Raw genomic sequence first — 13,076 nt, forward strand, 5'->3', positions numbered from 1 at the left:
ATCCAGGCACTGTTTGTCCTGAGTTGCGTGGAGCTCACCCCCAGAGTCCCAGCATCAGCCCTGGGGCCTTCTCTGAACCCTCAGGATAGTTCTACCCTTTACTTTTCGTTCCTCTCGTCTTAGGAATATTAGCAGCTTTCTGCAGTTAGACTTTCTATGTTACTCCTCCTTCCTGCTCTTTCAGTCCTCCAATAGCCATGGGATCAGTTCCTTGCATTGAGTCTCTCTATCTGAAATACCTAGTGTGGTTTCTCTTTCTTTGCCTGGATGGACCCTAACTCATACAGCTTCTCTGTAGATACTTTTCGGAACATCAGTGAACAAATTAAAATTCATCCCCAGGGAGCTCTGATGTGGGTCAGAAAATTTGCTAATTAAATTTCTACAAGACTGCAAATCCATTCCTTATTGCATTTCTCTTCCCGAAGTATGCTCTTCCTCATTGCCCAATATAATTGGGGTGACCATACATACCAATGCACCCAAGACAGTCCAGGTTTTTGCCTGTTATCCCAGCAAAATTATTAATATAGCCTCCTTTCTCTCTCGAAACTATGTAGTTTGAGTGATAAATTATATGGTCACTCTAAATATAGGCCATCATATGTTCTACAGTGAAATTCAATGACAATATTAAGATACTCCAGCAAGGAGGCATCATGCTACCTGACTTCAAGCTATACTACAAGGCTACAGTAACCAAAACAGCATGGTACTGTGTACCAAAACAGATATATAGACCTATGGAACAGAACAGAGCCTTCAGAAATAATGCTACACATCTACAACCACCTGACCTTTGACAAACCTGAGAAAAACAACCAATGGGAAAAGGATTTCCTATTTAATGTATTGTGTTGGGGAAACAGGCTAGCCATATGCAGAAAACTGAAAGTGGACCCATTCCTTACACCTTATACAAAAATTAACTCAAGATGGATTAAAGACTTCAATATAAGACCTAAAACCATAAAAACCCTAGAAGAAAACCTAGGCAATACCATTAGGACATAGGCATGGGCAAAGACTTCATGACTAAAATACCAAAAGCAATTGCAACAGAAGCAAAAATTGACAAATGGGATCTAATTAAACTAAAGAGCTTCTGCACAGCAAAAGAAACTAACATCAGAGTGAGCAGGCAACCTACAGAATGGGAGAAAATTTTTGCAATCTATCCATCTGACAAAGGGCTAATATCAAGAATCTACAAACAAATTTACAAGAATAAAACAAACAAACCCATCAAAAAGTGGGTGAAGGATATGAACAGACACTTCTCAAAAGAAGACATTTATGCAGACAACAAACGTATGAAAAAAGGTCATCATCAATGGTCGTTAGAGAAAGGCAAATCAAAACCACAATGAGGTACCATCTCATGCCAGTTAGAATGGCAATCATTAAAAAGCCAGGAAACAACAGATGCTGGAGAGGATGCAGAGAAATCAGAACGCTTTTACACTTTGGTGGGAGTGTAAATTAGTTCAACCATTGTGGAAGGCAGTGTGGCAATTTCTCAAGGATCTAGAACCAGTAATACCATTTGACCCAGCAATCCCATTACTGGGTATATACCCAAAGGATTATAAATCATTCTACTATAAAGTCACATGCACACATTTGTTTATTGCAGCACTGTTCACAGTAGCAAAGACTTGGAACCAACCCAAATGCCCATCAATGATAGACTGGATAAAGAAAATGTGGCACATATGGAAATGTGCACACCATGGAACACTATGCAACCACAAAAAAAGGATGAGTTCATGTCCTTTGCAGAGACATGCATGAAGTTGGAAAACATCATTCTCAGTAAACTAACACAGGAACAGAAAACCAAACACTGCATGTCCTCACTCATAAGTGTCAGTTGAACAATGAGAACACATGGACACAGGGAAGGGAACATCACACACTGGGGTCTGTCAGTGGGTAGAGGGCTAGGGGAGGGATAGCATTAGGAGAAATACCTAATGTAGATGACGGGTTGATGGGTGCAGCAAACCACCATGGCACGTGTATACCTATATAACAAACCTGCACGTTCTGCACATGTATCCCAGAACTTAAAGTATAATAAGAAAAAAAGAGACAAAAACAGATATTCCAGCAATAAAATACCAATTACAAGATATTCCAAATTTGAATATGAACTCCTTCTCATCATGAATTTTCTGAAATTAAAATTAAAAGATTAAGTTCAATGATTAATGTACAAAGATATTAAACCCCAAAGGAGTTAAAGTCCAAAATCATATTCTCTTCACCTTGTAATTAAAAGTTTAAAGAAAATTAATGCCCAAAATATATCCCAATTTCTTATTCAACCTCTTTGTTATATTTCTCAATGTTCCTAGGCTATGCGCAAAATGTTGGAGTTGAGATGTCCAAATATAACTTCTTTTTTCCTCATGAGCATCTTGAACAAATTATAAAATTAAACAAAGAGAACAGAGAAGAGACTAAAACAACACCCTTATTACTAACAAATGTGGCTTGTGCCTACAGGCAAGAAAGCCTGCTAACAATGAACTCTAGAACTGGTCTTCCCCACTGTGGCATAAACAGCTACTGTTCACCCATGTGTGTGTTTGGCCCCTCTTCCGGGCACAACTACACTATATCTTTCTCAGCCTCCCTTCTGGTTAACTCTGTTCATGTGATTGAATTTTGGCCAATGGAATGTGGAAAAAATTCTGTGCACCCTCCTAACATGGTCAATAAGAATTTCCCAAATGTGTTTCATGCTTTCACACCCTCCCCTCATTTGCAAGCTGAATAAAGAGGACTCTCAGGGCTTAAAAGAGGGCAAAGCCACCAGATGGAAGAACACTAGGTCTCAGCATTTGTGCATGGAATAGAGCCTGTTTCTTTACCATCAATCCTCATTGAACACTGACATAAGTGAGAAACAAACATTTATTTTTGTTACGCTACGGAATGTTTGGAAGTTGTTTGTTTCACTGGCTAGCCTATCCTGCCTGAAACACCCCGAAAATCCCTGGAAGCCCTGATGCAGGACAGGTTTTCCTGTGGCAGGAAGTGAACTGCTCAGGTGATCCAGAGATGCAGAAGAAACTTCTGACCCTATGGACAGCTCCCCCCATGAAAAAGAGAGTAAGGCTGAGCTAAGCATGCTCAGTAGAATCTTTCCACATTCAATCCAAGCAGCTTAAGCCCCTCTTTCTTCCCTGGTAGGAGTGAGGGAGCTTCTTTCCAGAGGCTAAAATAATCACACCGCCACATGGAAGGAAACAGCTCCCCATCGAAATGTGTTTTCTTTTTGTGCAGCTCTTTCTTGATGTCTAGAAATCTTTCCCTTTGTTCCCCATCCAGATTCTATATACTGTTTCTCAAGACACACCCCCTCTTAGCATCCTTAGCAGGTATGAGACAGAGGGGCACTACATTTCTGTCTTCTGACTAGCCCATGAATGCCAGTCATACGGTCCCCTTTGGGCCTTTGGGCAAGCTTCGGTGAGAGTTAAGGAGAAACAGCCCTTCCTGACCTCTCTCCCCACCTGCTCCAGATTCCAGAGTCCATGAAGGGTCATTCTCAGCAGACATAATAAGGATCCTGGATGCATTCTTCTTTTTAACAATGAGGTCATTTCCTCACAAATCACCAGGCTCTTCCTAAGGGAAGTTTGCACCCACAGCAATGCCCAGAGTCCTCCTGCCTTACAGACCCACCTTCCTTCTCTGCCTTTATTTGAAAAGGAGAGAGAAAAGCTCCAATCTTCATCATAACAAAACTAATGCTGGGATGAATCCACTTCAATGTGCTTGCCATGCTCGTAGTCCCTACTGAGGGACAATACCCTGCATAGTCCTGGATACTTGGGCCAACGTTTGGTCCCACATGGCCTCCAGCTCCCAACCAAAACAGATGAGGCAGAGGTGGAAGCCCATGGATTGGTCAGCACACTATGGCTGAGAGATAAGCCAGTTAACGGGAATTGAAACCCAAAGTTCATGATGTAGAATTCAAATGAGATAAGTCACAATGAACCATCTCAAAACCATGAAACAGCAGGACCCGTGAGTAAACAGAGGAAGTCAGCTCATGGAGAAAGGACAAGGGCACAGTTGTAGACAGACATGCAAATGATGAGAGGATAGCGGAGGGACAGAAGGCAGAGCGCACAGCCTGGAGGAAACTATTCACAGAGATATCTCGGAACCTGTCCGTTGTTCAGTGCTTTCTTTCCATGTCTATGTTTATAATAAGCCCCTTTTTCCTTGACCTGACTTGGGTGGTCAAGGTCACTGTGCCTTGCCTGATTGAAACAACTCATTTCCACAATTGCATTAAACTGTGATAAGTGATCCAGAAAACCATGATCATATCGGCTTCTCCTCTTCCTACCTAAAATAGCAGATGCCTTGGGCTACAAACTTTGGGAAAAGGGTATGAATAAGCACTAGATAGTTTTGCAAGATTTGCACTTTAGGGAGAAAGGAGAGTAAGCTAGGTGAATTATTGGGATATTCTTTAGGTTACTATGAGGTTTGGAGGTTACAGTTAGGAAAAAAAAGTTTCCTGCAGCAAAACCCATGCCAAATTGAAAAATTCTTTAGACCACATAGGAGGTCTTCAAGGAAATCATGGTGCTGGTAAAAAAAAAAAAAAAAAAAAAAAAAGGGAGAGAGATTTTGACTTTCTCTTCTTCTGGGGATGGAAAAACTAAAGCCAGGCCTCAGTGTCATCTTTCCACCCAGGAGCAAGACTGAGCCCTTCCACTGTGGGACATTGAGGCCTGAATAAGACCCTTCCAAGCAAAGGTGAAAGAGGCTCTGAGTATAAGTATCCATAAACATGGGCTACTGTAACATAGGAACCCAGAACCCTAATCATCAAAGCCAATGAATGTCTCTAAGAAAGGGAGTGATTGTCCTGACAGAGTTTTGAGAGCCAAAAGGCTTTGTGGACTCAACCTCCAAAACAGAGCAGATGGGAGGAGGGATGGTGAGAAGGCTTATTCCCAAGCCAAGCCCTGGAGAGGATGGCAAAGTGGCAGGTGGAAAGCGTGGTAGATGTGGAGTCCCATGTGAGATAGGATATCCCAGCTGATGCCTCACAAATCCTCGCACTTGCTGCCTCTCATTGTACCTCCTATTTCTATCTTCAGTAAAGGCTTGAGGCTATTTGGAGCCCAGAAGCCAGCAGCTGAAGGGAACAGGCAATTGGCCAGGCCAGCTCCTCAGCCCAAGGAAGGCAGGCCTGGGGCAATGCCCACTGGCCAGTAACATCAGAGGGCCCATTGGAAACACATCTAAGTCCCCGTGACTCACAACTGTCATAGCTGTGAAGTAGTGTCATCTTTCTTCCTGAAGATTTCCTGTATCACCCCAGGAGCAGAAGGGATGATTGATTTTTGCTCTGGAAATAAGTAATGGGTCACTGGGGACATGAATAGAACTATAGCTTCCTTAAGAAGCAATCTCTCTTAAGAAATTACAAAGCAAGCGGCTCCCCTGCTCAGTGGTGTCTGTGGCATTGTACTCCCAGTCTTTCAGGATAAGTCTAAAACAGTTTGGCACTCAATTCCAAGCTCACCTATGGAAAAGGAGGAACTCTGAAATCTGTAGAATAAATAAAGTAATGAGGTATGCCTACTGTAAATGGAGAAAATCCAGCCAGTATTATTGAAAACTTTCAGGCTTTAAAATTTATAACATGGAAAGCTATACTATACTGAAGTATCTGAGTCTCCCCAAAAACAATGACGTTAGGGAGGAAATCAAATGAGAGGAATCTAAGATTGACAGTTCAACTAGCCAAATCGCCAAATAATCTGCAGTCACAGAGGGATAGTGGACTGTTATTAAATAAACCCCTGGTGAATTTTCTTTATTAAAGAGCAAGAAGTCAGCAGGTTTCAAAGCCCCAGGAATGTGGGGATGTAGACCCTTTCAGCGACAGCTAAAAGTGAGAGTTAGGAAGGGTATAAAACCTCTGCTCCCCGTTCACGAGAAAGCCAGCCCTGGAGAGGGAGGCACCAGGCGGCAGCCCCACTCTGCACCACACAACACTCTGTTACTCCCGCCTGGCCTATTAGTCTCTCCCTTAGCCTGACCTAAGTAACTCTAACCCAAGTAAGGAGAAAATCAAAGTTGGGAATTTCAGCATTCCTGAACAAGAAAGTTCGAGGGTCAGTCTGCAAAAAGTAAGCCCCAAGATCAAGGAAAGGGAATGAGATCTGGACACAGAGCTGCACTCAACATCTAGCATGACTCTCAGCAGGATGCACCACTGGGCACAGCAGTGTCTATGCTTGTCCAGCAGACATGTCAGGGTGAGCTTGCTCTCGGCAGAAGAGAGAAACCTCCCACTAAGGGAAGAAGGAGCTGGGTGCATGAGATTGGCCCAGTAAGACAAACCTTCTCATCAAAATAAGAGGGGCAGCTCTCACAGTATTGTGGTCTTGGTCACTTGTGTTTGTCCCCTGAGTCAGTTTCCATGGACTCCCATTTAAACCCTGGAGTCAGGCAGGCAGGGTCACTAGAAGTCTGTGAGGCATTAGGACTACTCTGTCCCCCTCTGACAAAATATAACACAGATGGAGAAAGAGGTGCTGATGACCCTTAAATCTCCAAAGGCCTGAATGGGGGTGGCCCAGAGCAACAAACTGCCTACTTGCAACAAGCCCACTTGCAGAAGACAGGACTTCGGCGGGAGAGGAGACCAACCACTCCTGAGGACCTGCCCCTTGCTGCCTCTCATTGCACCTACTGTTTCTATCATTGATAAAGGAAAGATGTTGCATGCACCACTCTATTTCGCATTTAAGGTCAAGGTTCTGGGGAAATGAGTCCCACAACACTGGCAGGAAGAACGTCTACTCCATGACAGGGCTGCCACAGTATGGTAGCAGACAGGACTTTTCATCAATGACAGCCTCTGGAAACCATGGGGAGAAAGTGTCCTGCATAACCAAGCGGAGGCAAAAACCAGGGAAGCATGGATTAGACAATGAAACAGTTCAAGTGAAACAACAAAACAATTCAAGGTTGGGGGACATAAAGGCCCAGTCATTCATAGTACTGCAAAGTGATTAATCTAAAATGCAAATTTGATGACATCAGATCCTGTTTAAAATCTCTGCCTTTTCTCCATTCCCACAGATCCTCTCCTATCAGACATAATGAACTACTGCTAGGATTATTGCAGTAGTCTTCTGTCAACAGTCTCACCTCACTGCACTCCCCCACTTCCCCACTGCTTTCACAACAATCCGTGTAAATCTCCAAACTCTTCAGGGCCCTCCTTATCTCTAGCAATGTTCCTTGACTTCCTACACCCTTGGGGCAAAAGTCTACACACATTATAGGCCTTATAACAGCCTCCATCCATTCATTCACTCATTTAAAAAATATTTATCAAGTGCCAACTCCATCCCAGACTACTGCTAAGAGTGGTAGGGAACAGTAAACCAAACACCAAAAGTCCCTGACTTTAGGAAGTTACATTCTATGGGCAAAATTTAGCACCCCTCTGTGTTCAGCTCTTCTGCATTCAGTGGTGTAGGCACAGGCTTTTACCAGCTCATGGAGACCAAGGGTGCACATCTCTTCCCAACTCTGCATTCAGTGATATTGCTTTGGTAGCTTGAAATCAACCTGGGTGGAAATATTTACACCATGGAAATCAGCAGTCACTACAAATAAGCAGACACTAGGCTTTTTCTTTTTCAGGAACAGGTTATTGAACATTTACCAGCATACTTTTGTACCTTAGCCCAGGCTGCTCTCTGTGCCTAGAAATCTCTTCTTCTTGTCATCTGCCTGATGAATACCTACCTTCAAGACTTAATTCAAATATCAAAGCAGTTTTGGACCCAAGAGGGAGAGCAGACTCCTCCCTCTGAGCTGCCTCTGTACCATGCGCACACCCAGAACACCTTCAGCAGTTACCTAGTCATGTGACTGTCACCCCACTGTACTGTAAATTTCTTGGAGCCAGGGATGAGTCAGGCATGACTCATCAATATCCCCAGCCCCTGGTACAGTGCCTGGCCCAGTTCCTGGACCACTGTAAAATAAATTCCTGTTGAATACATTTGGAGCCAGGAAAAAATATGTATCTTATTTTAACAGCTGTCATCAGACTTCATTTTAGGAAAGGAATCAAGTATGAGGTTGAATGAGCCCAAATTGTGGAAATGACCATGGGATATTTAGGTATAGTAATATGTAACATTGAGATTTCCTTTTCTGAGCTAAAATTATTCCATACCTACAAGATATTCACAATGTGAATGCCTTATGTAAATGGTTGGACTGGTGAATGTTAAGAAAAATGGCTGAGTTCTGTAACTGAGTTAATGGGGTGCAGAACAGGGAAGACACGAGCAACAAGCACGGTGATCCCTAGACTGAATTTGCTCAGAATAAGGAGGCTGGAGCCAGAAGTGACCACAATTAATAAGCCCCCTGGGAATTTATGAAAATCTTGTGAAGCTCCAGATACTTCAGAATCCTTGGACTAGGGCTTTAAATTCATCTCATCTAGACATGAAAAAACAGGGTGGCCTAATTTGACAGCTTAATCAGGAAGAAGTGGGTAACATGGATGGATGGATGGATGGATGGATGGATGGATGGATGGATGGATGGATAGATGGATGGACGGATAGATGGATGGATGGATGAAAGGAACAGTAGATGAATGGATAGATGCATATCTGAAAGCAGAGGTTGTGAATGGCTTAGTAGTGGAGGTGGCAAGTGAGATTATATTAGGCCATTCTTGCATTGATATAAAGAAGTATCTGGGGCTGGGTAACTTACAGATAAAAGAGATTTAATTGGTTCATGGTTCTGCAGGCTTTACAGGAAGCATGATGCTGTCATCTGCTTCTGCTGAGGGCCTCACTAATCTTACAATAATGGCGGAAGGTGACAGGGAGCCAGCATGTCACATGGCAAGAGAGAGAGGGAGAAGGCACCACACTCTTTTAAACAACCAGATCTCATGTGAACTACCAGAGCAAGAACTCACTCATCATTAGGGGATGGGGCTAAGACAGTCAGGAGGGATCCACCCCAATGACACAAACATCTCCCACTAGGCCCCATCTCCAACATTGGGGATTACATTTCAACATGAGATTTGGAGGGGACAGACACCTAAGCCATATCATTTCATCTCTGGCCCCCAAATATCATGTCCTTCTCACATTACAAAATACAATCATACCTTTCCAGTAGTTCCCCGAAGTCTTAAGTCTTTCCAGCATCAAGTCCAAAGTCTTAAGTCTCATCAGAGACTCATTCTCCTTCCACCATGAGCCTGTAAAATCAAAGACAAGTTATTTCCTTCGAAGATACAATGGTGGTAAAAGCATTGGGTAAACTTTCCCATTCCAAAAGAAAGAAATTCACCAAAAGAAAGGAGTAATAGGCACCACACAAGTCTAAAACCAAGCAGGACAGTCATTGCATTTAAAGCTCCAAAATAATCTCCTTTGACTTCATGTCCCACACCCTGGTATGAGGGGTGGGCTCCCAAGGCCTTGGGCAGATCCACCCCTGTGGCTTTGCAGTGTACAGCACACATGGCTGTTCTCAAGGGTTGGAGTGGAGTGCTTGTGGCTTTTCCAAGCAGAGTTTGCAAGCTGCCAATCTACCATTCTGGGGTCTGGAAGGCAGTGGCCCCCTTCCCATAGATCCACTAGGCAGTGTCCCAGTGGGGACTCTGTGTAGAGGCTCCAATCCCACATTTCCCCCTGCCATTGCCCTAGTAGAGTTTCTCTGTTGGGGCTCCACCCTGCAACAGGCTTCTGCCTGGGCACCCAAACTCTTCCATAATCCTCTGAAATCTAGGTGGAAGCCTCATTCATGCTTACATTCTGAGCATCTGAAGACTTAACATCATGTGACAACTGCCGAGGCATGGCTTGCACCCTCTAGAGCTGCAGCCCAAGCTGAACCTTGGTCCCTTTGAGTCATGGCAGAAGCCAGAGTGGCCAGGATGCAGGGAGCAGTGTGGCAGCACAGGGAAGCAAGGCCCTGGGCCTGGCCCCCTAAGCCACTTTTCTCCTAGGCCTCTGGGCCTATGATGGAAGGGACTGCCCCAAGACTTCTAAAGTGCCTTCAAGGCCTTTTTCCCATTGTCTTAGATATTAACACTTGGCTCCCTTTAGGTCAGGCTAATCTCCCTAGCAAGTGGTTGCTCCACAGCCTGCTCGAATTTCTCTCCTGAAAATGATTTTATTTCCTGCACATGGCCTGTGTATTTGTCCATTTTCATGCTGCTGATAGAGACATACCCGAGACTGCATGGTCTATACAGGAAAAAGGATTTAAGGGACTTACAGTTCCACATGGCTGGGGAGGCCTCACAATCATGATGGAAGGCAAGGAGGAGCAAGTTATGTCTTACATGGATGGTAGCAGGCAAAGAGAGAGAGAACTCCTCTTTATAAAATGATCAGGTCTTGTGAGACTTATTCATTTTCATGAGAACAGCACAGGAAAGACTTCCCCCCATGACTGAATTATCTCACACTTGGTCTGTCTCACAACACATGGGAATTCAAGATGAGATCTGGGTGAGGACACAGCCCACTCATATCAGCCAGCATGAAAATTTTCCAAACTCTTAAGCTCTGCTTCCCTTTTAAATATAAGGTCCAGTTTCAGGTCATTTCTTTGCTCGCACATATAAGCATTGGCTGTTCGAATCAACTAGGCCACTTCTGGAACACTTTGCTGCTTAGAAATTTCTACTGCTAGATACCCTAGGTCATCACTCTTAAGTTGAAACTTCCACAGAGCCTTAGGGCCTGGACAAAATGCAGCCAAGCTCTTTACTAAAGCATAACATGGGTGACTTTACTCCAGTTCCTAATAACTTCATTTCCATCTGAGACCTCATCAGCCTGGACTTCAATATCTCTATCAGCATTTTGGTCACAACCATTTAGCCAGTCTACAAGTTGCAAACTTTTCTTCATCTTCCTGTCTTCTTCTGAAACTTCGAAATTCTTCCAATCTCTGCCCATTACCCAGTTCCAATGCTGGATCCACATTTTTAGGTATCTTTATAGCAATGCCCCTCTCCTCAGTACTTATTTTGTATTATGCCATTCTTGCATTGCTATAAAAAAGTACCTGAGGCTGGCTAATTTATAGAGAAAAAAAGGTTTAATTGGCTCATGATTCTGCAGGCTTTACATGAAGCATGGTGCTGGCACCCGCTTCTGGGGAGCCCTCAGGGAGCTTACACCATGGTGAAAGGTGAAGGGGGAGCCAATGTGTCACATGGTCAGAGCAGGAGCAAGAGAGAGACAGAGGTATCACACTCTTTTAAACAACCAGATCTCACATGAACTACCAGAGCAAGAACTCACTCTTCACCAAGTGGATAGGGCTAAGCCATTCATGAGGGAGCCACCTCCTACCAGGCTGCCCTTCCAACATTGGGGGTTACATTTCAACATGAGATTTGGAGGGGACAAACATCCAAACCATAACAGAGATGAATGCCAAGACAGCTGGACTAGGTGGGGCAAGCCAGGAACAGGCTTCAGAAACAGCCTAGGCAGGAGGCAGGAAGACAAGACGGCAGGAAGCAGTGCAGAACAAAGCAGGCTCCTCATCATTCAACCTCCCCTGAGTGCAGCAAAGGGGCCTTATTGTCAGCCCCTAACTGATCATTGATAACTAAAGTTACAACAACTCATACCTGTAAGGGCCATGGTGAGTTAGAGCTGGCAAGAGCCCTAATGATACACAGTCTTCTCTTGAAAGAGGAGAAGACTGAGGCCCAGAGAAGTGAGTAAATTTCCCAACAAGCAGAGAGTTGAGACTGGAATCTGGCTTCCCACCCCAGCCCAGTGCTCTTGGAACCAGAGGACGGTCCTCACCCAGTCAGCTAAGGGGAGCCTTGGCATGCTGGCCACCACCAGCCCAGTGATGCTAGGAAAGTTGCAGTGCTTATCTATCTGTGTGTGCCTCCCTTTGTTCAAATGTAATGTAGAAACAATAATACTGCCTTTCAGGATCTTCCTGTAAGAATTAAATTACTTAATATTTTAAAACATAGTGGTGTCATATTTGAGCTCACATTACCCTAAGATTCACCCTACCATCAGGCTGCTACAAGGAATTCAAAGATTCCTGGGTAGAGACCTGATGAAAATGGGCACCGGTTAAAATAAAAAAAGGAGGGATAATTTGGGGGTGGGGGTGTCATTTACATTGTCCCCAGGTCCTACCCCTGGAATTGCGCAAGGGCCACAATAGTCAGAAATGGATTATTTCATGGGATGTTCAATGAAACCTCAGTTAAACCGTGAGACCATCTTGTCTTATTGCTTAAAACCACTGAAAGCTGAAAGGGTTAGATTTATGGAGCTTCTGGGTAACATCCTCTGAGGACCCTAGGAATGGTGAATGAGGGAGGAAGGGAGTAGGGAGAGAATAATTTAAACAGAGCAGAGCCAGGCAAACTCTCCCTGCATGAGAAACTAACAGGAAAACCCAGGTCCCATGTGAGTACCAAGTTAAAGGACCCCAGCAGGCCATGTTGGTTCCCTTTCCCCTTTCTGGACTTACTGCTCCATCAAGGCTAAGCAGACCATTGGCTCTCCCTTTTCCTCTGTTCTCCTGGCTCCCACTACCTCTGCTTTTTTCAACAACAGATGTATTTTTCAAGGATCCTGCTCCTGGGAAGTACTTCTAGCACTTCACTTATCTCACCTGATGCACTATACCTAATTATCAGCTTAATTGCCTTCTTCCACCACTGACCAGTTACAATCAGGTATATTCTATCTTCGTCCCTGTGGCATTATCGCTCCAAAACAATAGTAGACACTGCATATTTATTGGATGAATGAGTTAATGAACGAATGCTTGGAACTCTTCCTGACAATCAAATTCAGGCCCTAGTCCCACACATAAGTAATTAAAAGTCGAAGTGACCATACTGAGCAAGTTCCTGAGCTCTTGCTAGTAAAAACAGGGCCCTTGGAGCAACATTGGTTTTTCTCAGAAGCTTATTAAAAATACAGACTCTCAGGCTGAATCTAAACTTGCATTTTAACAAGATCCCCAGATGATTC

This window comes from Homo sapiens, chromosome 7 (genome assembly GCF_000001405.40).
Source record: "Homo sapiens chromosome 7, GRCh38.p14 Primary Assembly".
NCBI classification, from domain to species: domain Eukaryota; kingdom Metazoa; phylum Chordata; class Mammalia; order Primates; family Hominidae; genus Homo; species Homo sapiens.